The following is a 17474-nucleotide window of genomic DNA, read 5'->3' on the forward strand; positions in this document are numbered from 1 at the left end:
TGAACAAGATGACTTGCTCTTCCTTTTGAGGCTCCTGAATTGATCGGCAAAATGTCGAGTAGGGAGATCCAGCTATGAATCCCAAATAAGAATTCCCATTGCATGGAGGGTGGCAAAAATAATAGTGCCAAGCACCAGGAGTGGGAGCTCACATATCTAGACCCACTGAATCTATCTTGGAGTTGCCAAGGATGACTTGGCACACACAAGGCACTGGTTGGAACCAGTGTCTTTTTTTGTGTGTCCGGAGAGAAGGAAAGGTGAAGCAAGGAGAAAAGATGAAGCAAAATCAGCATTTGTTGTGTGTATTAGTCTCCCATGTAGGTCCCTCCTGATAGCCAATGCAAAGTGGGGGATGCATGCACCCCTCTGGAGCTGTAGGCAAAGACCCTGATACCTTACCACAGGGGGTAGGTATACCTATACCGATACCAGCCAAGTGCCATGTGACACCCACACCTTAAGCAATACAGCGAATGTGCCTTGTGTACCCAGAACAGGGAAATGATTTATTCTAATAAAGAACCTGGAACCAAGTGACAACTTCGCTCCCAGCTTCCATATAGCACAGTGTCCCAGGCCCAGTGAAAATCCCTTAGAGGGACGGCAGGCTCCACAATAGCTGCTTATTCCAACACAAAAGTGCTCAAAACTCAGATCATGCTGATCACAGCTTGCATCCCAGGTGGAAAGATATCTAATTCTTCTCTTAATTTAAATTGCTTAGTATATCTCTGGAAGTGAAGTCTTGTGCCTTTGAGTATACTGTAAAAGAGTACAGGTGCCAAACTCATTCCAGGGAGCCTGAACCAGAAAGTACCACATACATGAGCAGGGATGCATGCACACAAATGATCTTTACTCAAAGCAGGGTCAGTCTTCTTCCATAGGGAAAATGTAGTTGGGGCAGAACATTCTTATGGCTAGACTTCTTGCTCCTGGGAGGGAGAAAAACTCATGGACACAAGAAAATGTGAAAAAGGTCTCTCTCCACCTCTTTAGACACAATTTATTTTTGCTAAATCTGAAAGTACCTCTCTTTCCCCTCTAGAAATGGGGATTTTTGTTCCAAGAGAATACAAAGACATCTAAATTTGAGTCATCTAGAACTGCTAAATAACTTAGCTGAGCTGCTGGGCTTGGTTGACTAACAGGTACCTAACTATGTCAATTTCCTGATCTTCAATCCTTCCCAAGACAGCTGAAGCTGGAAAAGAGCTGGGATTGGTTGAAGGGACTGAATACTTTTGTTTTTGAAATGAAAATGACAGTAAAATTTTGTCATCTGAATATATGTGATTCTTTTACTATTTTTATTTCTTTCCACCTTGAGTAAAATTAAAGATGCAGCATGACTTGGCCTGACCTTTCTTTTTTATTTGATTTTTGAGATGGAGTCTCGCTCTGTCACCCAGGCTGGGATTCAATGGGCACGATCTTGGCTCACTGCAACCTCTGCCTCCCGGGTTCAAATGATTCTCCCACCTCAGCCTCCTGAGTAGCTGGGATTACAGGCACCCATCATGCCTGGCTAATTTTTGTATGTTTGTAGAGATGGGGTTTCACTATGTTGGCCAGGCTGGTCTTGAACTCCTGACCTCAGGTGATCCACCCACCTCGGCCTCCCAAAGTACTGGGATTACAGGGGTGAGGACACTTGGCCTAATCTTTCATTTCGATAAACCCTAGTAGATTTTTGACTACTCCTGGAAATATAAATCCCAATTAAAAGATATTTTTGGGCTCTTATAAAAAAGTTAAAAAAATTACAGATGCTTGCCAGGTTGCAGAGAAAAGGGAACAATTACCTACTGCTGGTGGGAATGTAAATTAGCTCAGCATTGTGGAAAGCAGGGTGGCAATTCCTCCAAAAACTTAGGGCTATCATTCGACCCAGAAATCCCATTATTGGTTATATACCCAAAGGAATATAAATCATTCTACCATAAAGACACATGTTTGTCCCAGCACTATTCACAATAGCAAAGCCATGGAATCAATCTAAATGCTCATCAATAGTAGACTGGGTACAGATAATATGGTGCATATACACCATGGAACTCTACACAGCCATAAAAATGAGGCATGTCCTTTGCAACAACATGGATGGAGCTGGAGGCCATAATCGTAAGTGAAATAATGCAGGAACAGAAAACCTAATACCGCATATTCTCACCTATAAGTAGGAGCCAGACCTTGAGTACACGTGGAGACAAATCAGGGAACAACACACACCAGGGCCTACTTGAGGGATGGAGGGTAGGAGGAGGGAGAGGATAGAACACTACCCATCAGTTACTATGCTTATTACCTGGGTGACTAATCTGTACACCAAGCCCCGTGACACGCAGTTTACCTATATAACAAACCTGCACATGTACCCCTGAACCTAAAATTTAAAAATAGCCATCTGTGGCCCTCATTGCAATAGGATACATGCATTTATTTAACAATCACTACAGTAATGAGGCAGGTACTCATTAACTCAACCTAAAAAGTCTCAATGGTGAATTCAATTGACCAAAATCTCTACATGTCAGAATGAGGTTTTGATCCAGATGCTTTTGGTTTTAGATCTTAATTTTTGACATTTAATGTCTGATACTTTGAAAAATCTTAAGTTTTTAAAATTAACTTTTAATGTAAGTATTCACTAATTCCAATAATAATGATTTCAGGGATATACAGTGTATCAAAGGGAGATCAGATGGATAACAATCTGTTTTATTTTTGACAAGGATTTGTGCAGCTGTGAAATTGAAGAAACAATGTCTCTGGGTTAAAGAATCTTGTTAATTTCCTGGAGACATAGCAGTAACAGGCTGACCAGAAAGTTGGCGAAAATTGTTTTTGACTTGAAAGGTTAGAGCCAAGGGTCAAGAGAAGTGGTACAATTGAGGATATATTTTGCGGGATATTAAAACATACAAATGGTTTGGACACAGAGTGTGAGAAACACACTGGAATCAAGCATGTCTCCTGTGATTGGGGGCTATAAGTGGGTGACTTGTGGTGCTATTTAGATGGGAAAGATTTCTTTGGGAGTCAACACTTAATGTTTGTGCAGGCTTAAAAATTTAACATCTTTTAAATTTAGCAGTTTTTGTGGTTTTCTTTCTATCTTGCGTTCTTCATCAGTATTCAGACAGGATTTTTGCTAATCACTCCAAAAAAGGCTGGACTCAAACTTAATGTGGTTAGGGGAGTTAGCAGGTTTTGTCCTCCTTAGTAGTTGTGACAAAATGTAGAATAAAGGCAAACTGAAAGTCAGTCCTGTGGGTGCCCTGGTCAGAGAATGGGACAAAGTGGGGCACAGGGAGGTGTCAGATAGGTATGATCAGAGATGGCCTCTACAACTGCTGGCACCCGAATAATCCTAACAAAGGAATTTAAGTAATGCAGTCTTCCCATCCCTTTACTTCTAGCATATATAGTGTAACCTAGATAGCTACAGAGAAAACTGCTGTAATATTTATTGTTTAATTTTGATAAAGCTAATCAATTATTTACACATATGAGTTCATTATGCTAAGATATGCTTTGGGTAATACAAATAATTACACATGGGGTCTCTGCCAAGCATACTCTGAACAAAGTGTGTATAACAACTTTAAAATTTCCTTATGCACTTGCTTTATTCTGCATGTGTATCATAGAAAGGTTGTTTTACATTGGGATAAGGTCACAGTGGTGGTATAGTTTGAGTTGCCCCAAATCTTACACAAACAGACAGTGCAACCAATATATTGAAACAAAGCACACAGACTGTTATCTTTAGAACTTAGTGATCAGGTATCCCTAAAAATTGTAGAACACAATGAATGGGGCCAACCAACTGCCAATATGAGGCCCTCTACAGGGTTTCATGAAAACTCGGGAACAATTACTAATGGGATTCTTTTATTCTCGTTTTTTTTTTTTTGAATTGGATCAATGAATCCAAATTAGCACATATGACTGCTTTAAGTTTTTTTTTGAGTAGTAATATCCATCATGCTTGTTGAATTTTTAATCAGTTTAATAATTTGTTAGTTGATTCTCTTTTTTTAATAAGTTGATTATATCAGCTGAAACTAATATTGATATTAACTATTTCAGGCCAGGCACAGTGGCTCACACCTGTAATCCTAGCACTTTGGGAGGCCAAGGCAGGTGGATTGCTTGAGCCCAGGAGTTTGAGACCAGCCTGGGCAACATGGCAAAACCTCATCTCTACAAAAATTAGCCAGACATGGTGGTGGGTGCCTGTAGTCCCAGCTACTCAGGAGGCTGAGGTAGGAGGATCATCTGAGCCCAGGAGGTCGAGACTGCAGTGAGCCATGATCATGCCACTGCACTCCAGCCTGAGTGACAGAGTGAGATCCTGTCTCAAACAAAAAGTAACTATTTCAAATATATAAACTTTTTGTCTCTTGTCGGAGTGCAATAAGTTTTTTTTTTCTGCAATAGCAAAGTTAGAGGCCTTGTTTTGTGCTTAGTTTTAATAGAAATAATTATTCTCAGTATGATGTATCTCTGGGTATATTATTGATATATTAATTCTTCTGGCCAAATTTTTAAAAAATCTTGCTTCTGCAATAGCATCCTTTCTCAGTGATCACTGTTTGTCTTTAGTAGATCCTCTGTGGTTGATATTTCTCTTCTTTTCTAGCTTATTGGGGTTCCTAGGGATTGGACATTGAACTGCTCACCCCATCTCTACATATCCACTCCCTTGGAGAGTTCATTCAATCTCATTGTTTTAACTAACATCCCTGTGCTGATGGCTTCAAGTTACATCTCTATCCTGGACTTCACCCCTGAAATGCAGACTCAGTTATTCATTTTCCTCTACAACATATTCACGTGGCTGTTCAAAACACTGTTTAACCAAAGTATGTATAACATGAATGCTCCTATTTGGAGGTTTGTGGAATGGAGGTTTCCCACTCCAAACCTCCACCTTTAGCCTTCCCTATCAGAATGTCACAAAGATATTCTGTCCTACGTATTTCTCTTAAAAAATTACAGTCTTGCTTTTCACATTTAGATATGTAATGTAATAGTTTTAATTTTATTTTTAATAAGATCATATAACATAAAATTTACCATCTTAACCATTTTAAGTGTACAATTCTGTAGTGTTTAGTACATTTACATTGTCATGTAACAGAACTCTTCATCTTGTAAAACTGTAACTCTGTAGCCGTTAAACAACTTTGCAGCCACAATGCAATAATGCTGGCTGCTTAGACTTTAAAAACTTTTTAATTTTTGCAGGTATATAGTAGGTGTATATATTTATGGGGTCCCTGAGATATTTTGATACAGGCATGCAGTGCATAATAGTTGCACCATGGAGAATGGGATATCCATCTCCTCAAGCATGTACCCTTTGCATCATGAAGAATCTGATTACACTCTTCATTATTTTAAAATGTACAATTACGTTATTACTGACTGTAGTCACCCTTTTGTGCTATCAAATAGTCTTATTCTATTTTTTTTGTACCCGTTAACCATCCCTATCTCCCCCGTACTACTTTTCCCAGCCTCTGGTAACCATCCTTCTACTCTCTATGTCCATGAGTTCAATTGTTTTGATTTTTAGATCCCACAAATAAGTGAGACCATGTGATGTTTGTCTTTCTATGCCTGGCTTATTTTACTTAGCATAATGGCCTCTAGCTCCATCCCCGTTGTTGCAAAAGACGGGATCTCATACTTTTTATGGCTGAATAGCACTTCATAGTTTATATGTACCACATTTTCTTTATCCATTCATCTGTTGATGGACACTTAGGTTGTTTCCAAATCTTAGCTATTGTTAACAGTTCTGCAACAAACAGGAGTGTAGATATCTCTTCAATATACTGATTTCCTTTCTTTGGGGTATATATGCTGCTCAGAATTTTTGATGTCAGGACTCCTTTAGACTGTTAAAAATATTGAATTACAAAGAGCTTTTATTTATATGGGCTTTATCCATCCACATTACCACATTAGAAATTAAAACTGAGTTAAAAATATTTATTAAATAATTAAAATAGCTAATAAACCCAACAGGTGTTAACATAAAATAGTGAACATTTAGTGAAAAATTACTGTTTTCCAAAAAAAGAGTGACATCATTTTATATTCGCATTTTTGCAAGTCTCTTGTCTGGCTAACTAGAAGAAAATTGGATTATCATATCTGCTTCTGCGTTCGGTCTTTGTAATATGTCACTTTGGTTAATGTACATAAAGAAAACCCTGCCTCACACAGATACGTGGTTGGAAAAAAGGAGAGTATTTTAAAAGCCTTTTCAGATAATTGTGGCTTTTTTTTTTTTTTTGATACTGCACCAAAACTTACTAAGGGGCAGTATCTTCGAGGTTTGTTGCAACATGGGATCTGAAAATATATCAATAAACTCTTCATACTTATTCCCATTAAAATCCACTGGTCCCTCTTGTACTTTGCCCATGAATGTTTCTGTAACATCATGTGCAGATAATTGGGAAAATTTTAGTTCAGAGTTATGCAGATGTTTTAAGTGATGATATTTTATTATGCAATACAAGAAATCATAGTTAAGATATCACCAGTGAGCTTCCAAGCTCATAGTAGAGAATACAACTTTTTCAAAATGCTAATTTTTCCTTTAAGCTTGAATTTTATCACTGAGTTTAATTGTTGTTAGTTGTTTTCTTTGAAGTGACAAGTTTACATCATTCAATTTCAAAAAATGTCGAATACCCACGGGCGAATAATCATTGTTTGTCTGATAGTCATTCTTTAAGTAAAGATGGTGTTCTATGTAACAAGTGGCTAGTTCAGCTCACAGCTCCAATAACTGCACAGATTTTCCTTGAGACACTCTTCATACTTTGATACGCAGCAAAAGTGTATTATGCATACTTTCTATTTTATCACTCTGAATAGTAAAAAGGCATGCATTCAACGGTTGGCATTTAATAAAACAGATACTTTTTACTGCTTCAAGACTTAAGTGAAACTGGCTTTTTCCCTTTACTGTGAGTGCACAGGGGTGAAGAATACAATGGTGACTAACAAACTAACACATTCTTATGCTACTACCTTGATTGGTGCTCAAGAGGCAGGAGCATTTCCCACCACTGTTTTTGCACACCTGTGCAAATGTCGACATTATGAAAAAGAAAATGTGTTATTGTGAAAATAGATCTGATCCCATGGACCCCTCCATCATCTAAGTTCCAATTATTGAGAAGCACTCTAGTAGAAGAATGGCCTTATTTGTTGGATATATACTTCAAAATATTTACAGTCAAGGGAACATCTTACCAGCAACCTGCTCTCAAAAGGTCCAGGAAAAAGAAAGTTTTTTTGTACTATAGTTGCAACATTTCCCTAAGTTATAAATTGTTTTAAAATATTTGTTTTATCTCTGCTTTATCTCCATTTTACATTAAAGTTATATTTAAATTCCATTACTGTTTCACAGTAAAATTCTGTATTAAAATTGGAATTTTTGGAAAATGAACTTTGTTCATTCTGCGGCTTTGAGTAATCCTTGAAACATTGCATAAAGTCCTGTTACTAACTGTGCTTCAAGATACAGGAAATAGTCATATATTAGATATTTTTTGTACGCTATTGACTTGAGCAAGACAGTTTACATTTGCTATGTCTTATTCACAATAAGTTTAGAGAGAATATATCTCCTTTTTACAGCGTATGAACAGCAGCCTTAGCTTGTTTAACTTTCTCAAACTGAAATACAAGAAACTGGCCAATGATTCCTTTTGGAACAATATTAGATGTTTACATAGGCAAGATTTAAAAGCTGCATATGAAGTTAATAAATTTTAGATCCTGAAAATGTTCTTAACATCAGAAAAATGTTTAAAGAAATGAAAGATGAAAAAATAACATGTAGACTTGCCCTTCTCTTTCTCTAATACTCTTTCCCCATTGGTGGTTGGGCGACTGGATTCTCCAGGCTTTCCTGATGCAGAGCACTGTGTGGGTCACAGCTTTGGGGATCTCACTGTCCACAAGAGAATGTAATGTCAGAAATAGAAGTCCTTCTTAAATGCATAGGGAAGCTCTGTGCATGTAGTCATTTGACAGCAGACTGTAACATTGAAAATATAATTCAGATATGACTAAAAGCAATAATAGGCATTTAATTCAGCCTCTTTGAATTTTATTTACTGTTAGCCTTTGATTTTCAATTACCCTTAAAACCACGCAGTCACATTCAGGCCGTGACTAACATTTTAAAAAAATACAATAAAAATCTTTGGCTGGAACTTTTATTCTACTTCAGTATTGAAAAAATCATAAATATAAATTATTATACATATACAGTTATGTGTATATATATGCATATAAAATATTCTCTTGTCTCAGGTTTGAAATGACTAAAGTTACCAACACCTTAATTTAGAAAGAATCAACAGAGAGGGAATTGTCAACTTTCCTAATACCAATAGACTTGACTTTCCTTTGGGTGCCTGTCCCCTCCTAGAGATTTATGTTCCTGGTCAAGTCAGTTTATCATGTCTGCTTTGCTTCTTCCAGCCAAACCCATAGAAATGAAGAAATAATAGTCTTTTGATTTCAAGTATGAAAGATCTAGGCTGTTCTCATATTAGATGGAAACTTAAAACACCTGAACGTTAGCTAGTAAGAACAGTTTCCTGTAATTTAGTATTTACTGGAAGCATTGTGTGCCATGCCATCCTCCTGATGTTTGTAACAGGACTTGTAAAGACTGTTATCAAATAACACTTTTTTCTTGATATGTCTCTTTGAGCTTCAGTGTTTGGATAATCAAGAGAGTCTCAGCCTTTAGGTAGCTGACACTGTGATAAGAGCATCCTGTGAACTACCCAAATAAGGAGGAAAACGAACGCAGCTGAGCATGGGATGCCATATAAAAATCACTTAAACCAGTCGCCACTCCTTGTTTCCTGAGTTGTCCTGTGCTGGAGGTCTGCTCAGACGAAGGTCTCCATGGCGTTAGAAGTCTTGATGCTCCTCGCTGTCTTGATTTGGACCGGTGCTGAGAACCTCCATGGTAAATAACAAGTTTTAGAGAATGCTTCCTCGAAGGAGTTAATCATAATGATCGCTTTCCATGCAGGTGTTTTACTCCCTGAAGAAATCTGATCTTATTCTAACTGGCTAGAAGAAGAAGCGCTTTCAGGCCAAGTAGACTTGTGTCAATATACGGAGGATACATTTTCTCTTTCTGCCTAAATGTCCCAGTTCTCAGGCTTTTATTTCTCTCTCTCTCTGTTTTGGTCTTCTCTCTAACTTGAGACTCATTTTCAGAGGTTCTTCAGGAATAGTCCTTGGCTCTCTTTCAGTCTAACATTTCAAACCCCTGCCAATTACTGGTGCTTGATTGTATCACATTGTAAGATATTCAGTTGCATCTTAGCTGATCTTCCTGCTTCCAGACTCATATTTTTGCTTAATGCTGATATTATTGCTGTTTTGTTCCCTTAAAAAGACTGCTCTGAACTTCACCCATGTTAAACTCATCAACGGTTCTGCAAAGTTAATAGGAGAAAGCTAAGTCAGCGCGTTGCTGTCTACAAGTTGATTCCAATGTATCTTTTCTGTTTTGCCTGGAATCCAAATGCTTGCCAGCTCCAAGGCCTGACTAAATGTAATCTGTAAAGTAGCATTTCAATATTACTTTTTATGTTCTTTATGGTTTCTTTTTGTAGACTTTTTTTGGTAATTTGAAAGGGGGTTTTTCTTTGAAACTGATACGTCAATTTCTTACCCATTTGGCCTGTAATACCTTTGGAAGCAAAGATCACATATAGCTCCTGATATTTTTCCATTTTACCTAAGATGAATTTTAAGAATGCCTAGATCAGTGAAGCTCACCAGGTAACAGTTAACAGTTAATTATTGAAATGAACAGCACATGGAGAGAAAGAGCCACTGTGAATTCTGGCTATTTAGGGTGGGTAGGGTGTTTAGGCCCTAACTGTCTTTCAGGAAGCCTGAGCAAAGGAAGATTCTGCTGCAGTGAAAGTATCTATGTGTGTTTCTCAGGCTTTTCTCAGCTATTTGATAGAACGTCAGACTAAAACTGAGTTTCTGGCTGGGCACGGTGGCTGATACCTGTAATCCCAGCACTTTGGGAAGCCGAGACGGGTGGATCACCAGAGGTCAGGAGGAGTTCGAGACCAGCTTGGCCAACATGGTGAAACCTCGTCTCTACTAAAAATACAAAAAGTAGCCTTGTGTAGTGGTGGGCGCCTGTAATCCCAGCTACACGGGAGGCTCAGGCAGGAGAATCACTTGAACCCGGGAGGCGGAGCTTGCAGTGAGCTGAGATCACACCACTGCACTCCAGCCTGGGTGACAGAGCGAGACTCTGTCTCAAAAAAAAAAAAAAAAAAAAGCAAAACTCCGTCTGAAAAACAGGCTGGGTACACGGTGGCTCACGCCTGTAATCCCAGCACTTTGGGAGCCCAAGGTGGGCGGATCACGAGGTCAGCCAGGCGTGATGGCGGGTGCCTGTAGCCTGTAGTCCCAGCTACTCGGGAGGCTGAGGCAGGAGAATGGCATGAACCTGGGAGGCGGAGCTTGCAGTGAGCGGAGACAGCGCCACTGCACTCCATCCTGGGTGACAGAGCGAGACTCCGTCTCAAAACAAACAAACAAAAAAACCCCCCCAAAACTCGACTTTCTAATGTTACTGTGAAAAAAAATGCAGTGAAATCATAAGTATGGGCTTTCTGTGTGTCATGCCCACTTCTCCTTTCCATCCATCTTTAATCTTAGCTGCTGGAATTTATTTTCCTTTAGGAAGGACCTTCCTGATCATCTTTCCTAGGTGATGTGAGAACAGTATTTCAAACACGTAGAGAGACGTGATTTAAAGGTTATGATCACTAATGCAGGACATTTGCCTCTACACCTTTTCTGAAATGTGCATTGTCTTACCTTGTTGATGATTTCTCTCTAAAGGCGGAACTTCCAAGCTCCAGTGGTGGTGGAGTCCTCTGTGGCCACTTGCTCATTAATAATTTAAATATGTACCTTTTAATGCTGAAAAGACTCAGTTCCTCCAAATGAATCTATTGCAAATAATGATTATTATTGACTTACTGACGATTTAAATATAGAGGATAAAGATGGGTTTTACAACAAAACGTGCATGGAGCTAACATCCCAAATAAAGGGCTTTCTCTCTCTTTTTCCTTTTATGGCTGAGATTGTTTCTGGTTCTGGCTGCTCTAGACAAGAATTCTACTGTTCTAGAACCACCCTTTCTCCTCTTTCTCTTTCCAAAAGTATACTGGGATGATATCGCTTTTATTCTAACACATTGCAATTCACTTCTGCCCCTTATGTTTTGTCCTAAATATATCCCCCTCCATGGAATATTTAGGAAATATTAAGGGGCTATACGGTTATGGTTTTTCATTTTCTTTCTTATTTTTTTTTTCTTTTTTGGAGTCTCTCTCTGTCACCCAGGCTGGAGTGCAGTGGCGCGATCTTGGTTCACTGCAAGCCCCGCCTCCTGGGTTCTCGCCGTTCTCCTGCCTCAGCCTCCCGAGTAGCTGGGACTACAGGCGCTTGCCACCACACCCGGCTAATTTTTTGTATTTTTAGTAGAGACGGGGTTTCACTGTGTTAGCCAGGACGGTCTCGATCTCCTGACCTTGTAATGCGCCCGCCTCGGCCTCCCAAAAGGCTGGGATTACAGGCGTCAGCCACTGCGCCCGGCCCATTTATGCTTTTTCTTATTCTTGCATGTTGATCCTCCCACCTCCTCCATGAAATTGCTGAAATCTAGTTACATGGGGGCATAATTAGTTAGGTATTTTGGAAAATAATTTTAATAATGTTTGTAAGAAAACCTTTAAGCCATGGTTACCCTTGCCAGAGAAATAAATGCCTTTTATTTATCACAGAGGGCAGAGTTGACTATTCTTTGAACACTTTCTTAAGATAGACACCCTTCTGATGCTTTTCATATGGTTCTTTCCACAGTGAAAATAAGTTGCTCTCTGGACTGGTTGATGGTCTCAGTTATCCCAGTTGCAGAAAGCAGAAATCTGTATATATTTGCGGATGAATTACATCTGGGAATGGGCTGCCCTGCAAATCGGATACATACATATGTATATGAGTTTATATATCTTGTTCGTGATTGTGGCATCAGGACAAGGGTAAGAACAGTGATTGTTTGTAAAAAATACTGCATGTTTTGTCAGACTTTTATGCCTAGTATTAAAATTGTCTTTTAAAAAAATAATGTTTGCTTCTCATTGTAGTAATTTATGGGCAGGGGACAACGGAATTTATCATTATTTTTCACTGAATATTGGGTCATTCTGTGTGCACAGGACCTTAGATCACAGATTTATAAATTGGCTAGGGAACTGATTCTAAGTTGCCCTTAGGCTACTATTATATTTTACTAAATATTAGCAGACTGCTTTAAATTTTGTGTGATTCTTCTAATGTGGAAGGTCACCAATCTTGGGAAGCTCCATCATGTTCAATGTTAGGTCATTTGAAATCTATCCATGTTCCATGAGGATTTGTGTAAATATATAGTGGATTTTCATTGAAATGAAATCTCTTGTCATTCAGCTAGGCACAAATCCTAAATTGCGTTGTTATCCTGGGATATTATCTTCTCACAGATTCCCAAATTTAAGCAATTTATATTCACACTACACAAATATTTTGGGCCAGTGACCAATGATAATAACAATCATTTTTGAATAAAGTATTTTATTTTAGAAATTGGGAACTTGGAGCTTCAGAAGGTGCTTTACCAGCTTTTCCAGGGATGCACTGCTTGTTGGTGGTAGTTTAGATACCAAACCAGGATGAATACTCTCCGAAGCTTGTGCTTTAAACCACTCTCCGTTATTTGACTTACAAATCACCTTTCTCAAAGGAACTGTTGGAAACCTTTTCATTAATGAATCATAAAGATGGCTGTAAGCGGCAGTTTAAATTTGCTGCAATGAATTAAGATTGTTTTGCCCCCAGGCATTTTAAATTCACTCTTAGGGATAACACTCCTCTTCTGTCCCAGTGAGTTGTCATATCTTTATTTATATTTAAGAATGACAGTAGCCATTTTTGAGATCATGAATGTTTTTTACATCCTATTCAAGTGTGTGTATTCCTCATCTGTTACTCCAAATATCTTCCACTGAAACTTCATGCTCTCCTAGGTAGTTTCTGAGGAAACTCTCCTTTTTCAAACCGAGCTGTACTTTACCCCAAGGAATATAGATCATGACCCTCAGGAAATCCATTTGGAGTGTTCCACCTCTAGGTAAGTCCAGCAGATTTGATTCCTTTGGAATGTTTTAGCTTTACCTTTGCTTATGAGAAGCTTCTGCAGAAGCATAGACTTTAGAGAATATAACATGATTCACCCATAAGTATAATTGTAAACAAACCCCAAATTAGTATTTACACAAATATTTTAATGAGTACTTTAAAATGTTTTAATATTTTGAATGTAATGTTTATTTTAGAATAAAAACATATAGATTTATAATGGTCCTAACAATCTAGTGTAACTATGTTATTTTATAATAACTCAACTACAAAGCAGAGTCATTAAATACTCTGTCACCTTTAGTAAGTGATAGGATTAAGCACTGATATTATCTTTCAATGTTTTGTCTTTTATAATATTCTGATACATTTTATTGCTCAATTTCATCTTATAAGAGTAAGTGGCTAAAAACATAAGAAAATCAGTCCTTCATTTAATACTAACTCATGGAGAATACATGAAGGGAGGGCTTATCAGCCTAATTATTAAATGTACTTTGCTTGCAATTTTGTGGAACTGAGATATTGAATCCCAAGAGCCTCGTGTGAACTTTGAGACTAAGTGGAAAGGTATCCTGATACACTTTTTTTTTTTTTGCCATGCCATTGAAATATTTATGTTAAGTCTTATAAATCTGAGTGAAGAACCTTGGAAACTATCTCAAAACCACAGGAAAATTTTTATCCTTGCTTAATATGTGAAAATAGTTGACATCAAAATAAGAATTTAGAGCTCAGCCAATGTGCAATGTCTTAATGTGATTATAGTACTTTTTCTCAAGGAGAGGCAGAATTTTTTTTTAATTTTGGTAAAATATACATAATCTTGTACATTTGTACAAGTTGTAAATTTGTTAAAATGTATATAATCTTTTTTAATTTTGGGAAAATGTACAAATCTTTTAATTTTGGTAAAATGTACATAATCTAAGATACCATTTTAAGTGTACAGTTCAGTGGCATTAAGTCCATTCACATTGTTAATACTTTTACTCTTCCCTTTAACTTATTTTCATAAAGTATTTTCATAATACTTTTACTCTTCCCTTTAACTTATTTTCATAAAGGCTGAGGGATTTAGTGATATTCAGGAACATAGCTGAACTCTAAATAGAAACCACCCCTTGATTCTCTGTCTCTATCTCTGTCTCTGTCCTTGTCTGTCCCTGTCTTTCTGGTCTGTCCCTGTTTCTCTGGCCTGTCTCTCTGGTCTGTCCCTCTGTCTCTCACTCTGCCTTTGCCTCTGTCTCTGTCTGTCTGTCTGTCTCTCTGTCTTTGTCTGTCTCTCTCTGTCTGTCTCTCTCTCTCTGTCTCTGTCCCTGTCTCTCTGGTCTGTCCCTGTCTCTCTGGCCTGTCTCTCTGTCTCTCTGGTCTCTCTGTCTCTCGCTCTGCCTCTCTCTCGGTTTCTCTGTCTCTCTCTCTCTCTCTGTCTCTCTCTCTTTCTCCCTGTCTCTCTCCATCTCCATCTCTTTGTCTCTGTCTACCTTTCACACACATACATATGTTTTCAATTCTATGAACTACCCAAAGCTTGGAGCAACACAGAGTTCTGATCTAATGCCTCAGAACTACTGCCTTTCCGTAGGCTGCCAGAGTAATCATGATAAATAGATATTCCTATTTTGATAGTAACTACTATGTTGCTTGAAGCCTACTTTCCTTAAAAAAAAAATGAAGACTTGGCCAACAAAGTTGTCTGTTTAGGTTTTGGGTGCATGAATTTTAATGTTGTAGTCTCTCTCTCTCATATTCACTTACTCACATTGACATATAGAACTTTGCTGCCACTACAGTGGGACAGATTAAGCTTTTGGTGGCTTTTTCTTACTGTTCTTAGGATCCATTTGGCTGAGTCTGTTTTGCTGGGTACATTGGTACTCTTCTAATGCAAGCATCACAAATTATCTAAGACCATTCGTCTTTCTACTCAGTGTTTGATGCAGAAATCATGGGGAGACTATCTGGAATTAGTTCTTCTGTAAGCCTATCTGCTCAAATCCTGTACCAAGAGTCCACGAGGATCTAGAAGGCATAGTATGCTGGCTCTATGCCATACTCCTGAATGACTATTCTGTATATGATCATGATATTAAACAGTGGTAAAACTGACTTGATCCCAAGTGCTCCAACACTATCTGCTTTCTGTTTCCCTTTTCTTTAGGAAATCAGTGTGGCTTACACCAGTTTCTACTGAGAATGAAATAAAATTGGATCCTAGTCCTTTTATTGCTGACTTTCAGACAACAGCAGAAGAGTTAGGATTATTATCTTCTAGTCCAAACTTGCTCTGAGCTAAAGGAGAAATGGAAACTTGAAGCTGGTGTTATGTATTTTGCAGGAAAACAGTTTCATTTTTTCATAGCAAAAATATAGTTGGTGTATATCTCTCCTTAAGTCTCTGGTTTCTAAAAACCCTACTTCAGTAAAGGTCCTGATTAGTTGATTAGTGAATGTGTATTTCTAAATATTTGTATTCAGTAGGGGTATGGCTGATTAATTTAACATTAACTATTAGGTAATTCATATTATACATTTAAGTTCTTTCTGTTCTGTGTAGAAGATTCAGAAATATGTCTTCAAAGACAATGACTTGATCTAATTGATAAGAACCTCCAATAAATATGTTCTAATATTTTTCAGGAAGAATAAAGAATAGAGAGAGACATATAAATGTGCAAGAGGCAAAACTTTGAGCATAGTGTAAAATTTAACATATTAACTCTCACGAAAGGCAAAATCCTTTTATGTGCAGATACTTTAATTCATGTAGATTTTCCTATTAATCAGTAAAGTTGAATCCTAACAATAATGCCATGTGACAACCTATTTAGATTATTCCAGAATTAAATTCAATTTATTTTCTAGAGCTCAAGTAACCACTACCTTAACTGAAATTTGATGTTAGGTTTCCCTTGTTCCTCCGAATGGTTCTTCCACACTCAAAATAATTGAATGGTTGAGTTGGTTAAGCAAAGAGTTATCCTGCCACCTAAGAGCATTCATTAAATGATTATTTATTACCACCTACTTTATACTATCTTCCTTTCTTTAAACATGGAGTCTAAATATGTAATATATCAAAAAATACTTCTGATTTGGTAGATTTCTTATATCAAGGGTGAGAATTGAACTGTGCCATTGGCTATTCAATAGCTTATTGAATGTATGTTTTGGATGCCACATCCTCCTGGAAGCAAATTTTGCCAAGATACTGTTTATTATTATTTTTAATTAAAGTGATACTATTCCATTTTCAATTAAATGCTGTCTGTAGCTGTTAACTTGTCAGATAAAGAATTTGACCCTGTCATAGTGAACATCTGTCTTTACCAGTTAACATGCAGCTAAGAGGTAATACTTCTATGGGACTTCCTAAGGGTCAGAATATGGTACAAGTACATTGCGATAAATTATTTAATCTTCTTAAAGAGTGAAATATATCATGATTATCCCAATTTTACAGATAAGCAAACAGAGGTTAAATCATTTGCCTGAGTCACATAACTTGTTGGTGTTGGTTCAAGATTTAAAATAGGGCAATCTGCCTTTAGATCTGTCTCTATACTCTCTCTTTGTATATTAGCCACTATACTCTACTGCTTGGAATCATCTTAAGTTGCTGAACTTTAGTTCTCTAGAAAACAATTGCTATTCAAGCAGTTATACAACTCTCAATAAAACTTAAAGTTGAGCAATAGTGTTTCTCTTGAATATAGAAGTAAAATTATTTTATATAAACCGATTTCAGAGAATATTGGGCAGGTGAATGGTTGCTGAAAACAAAGTAAATTATTGAGTGTGAGATAATACGTATGTACAAGATAAAGAGTGATGTGGCTGGATTTTAGAAGGGTGGCTCTAAAGCCTCTTCATTTTTTTCTTTTTTTTTTTTTTTTTTTTTGTTTTTTTTGTTTTCTTTCTTTTTTTTTTTTTATTATACTCTAAGTTTTAGGGTACATGTGCACATTGTGCAGGTTAGTTACATATGTATACATGTGCCATGCTGGTGTGCTGCACCCACTAATGTGTCATCTAGCATTAGGTATATCTCCCAATGCTATCCCTCCCCCCTCCCCCGACCCCACCACAGTCCCCAGAGTGTGATATTCCCCTTCCTGTGTCCATGTGATCTCATTGTTCAATTCCCACCTATGAGTGAGAATATGCGGTGTTTGGTTTTTTGTTCT

General features: G+C 37.6%; 1 protein-coding gene across 1 annotated transcript; it reads left to right on the forward strand.

Moving 5' to 3' along the window:
* The first annotated feature begins 8913 nt into the window (after positions 1-8913).
* On the forward strand, positions 8914-16549 carry OOSP2 (oocyte secreted protein 2). Its single transcript, NM_173801.5, has 4 exons — positions 8914-9028; positions 11974-12152; positions 13176-13279; positions 15449-16549. Exons 1-4 carry the CDS (start codon positions 8965-8967, stop codon positions 15576-15578), a joined length of 477 nt encoding a protein of 158 aa, NP_776162.2. The 5' UTR covers positions 8914-8964; the 3' UTR covers positions 15579-16549.
* The last annotated feature ends 925 nt before the right edge of the window (positions 16550-17474 follow it).

Source organism: Homo sapiens, chromosome 11 (assembly GCF_000001405.40).
Source record: "Homo sapiens chromosome 11, GRCh38.p14 Primary Assembly".
Lineage (NCBI taxonomy): Eukaryota > Metazoa > Chordata > Mammalia > Primates > Hominidae > Homo > Homo sapiens.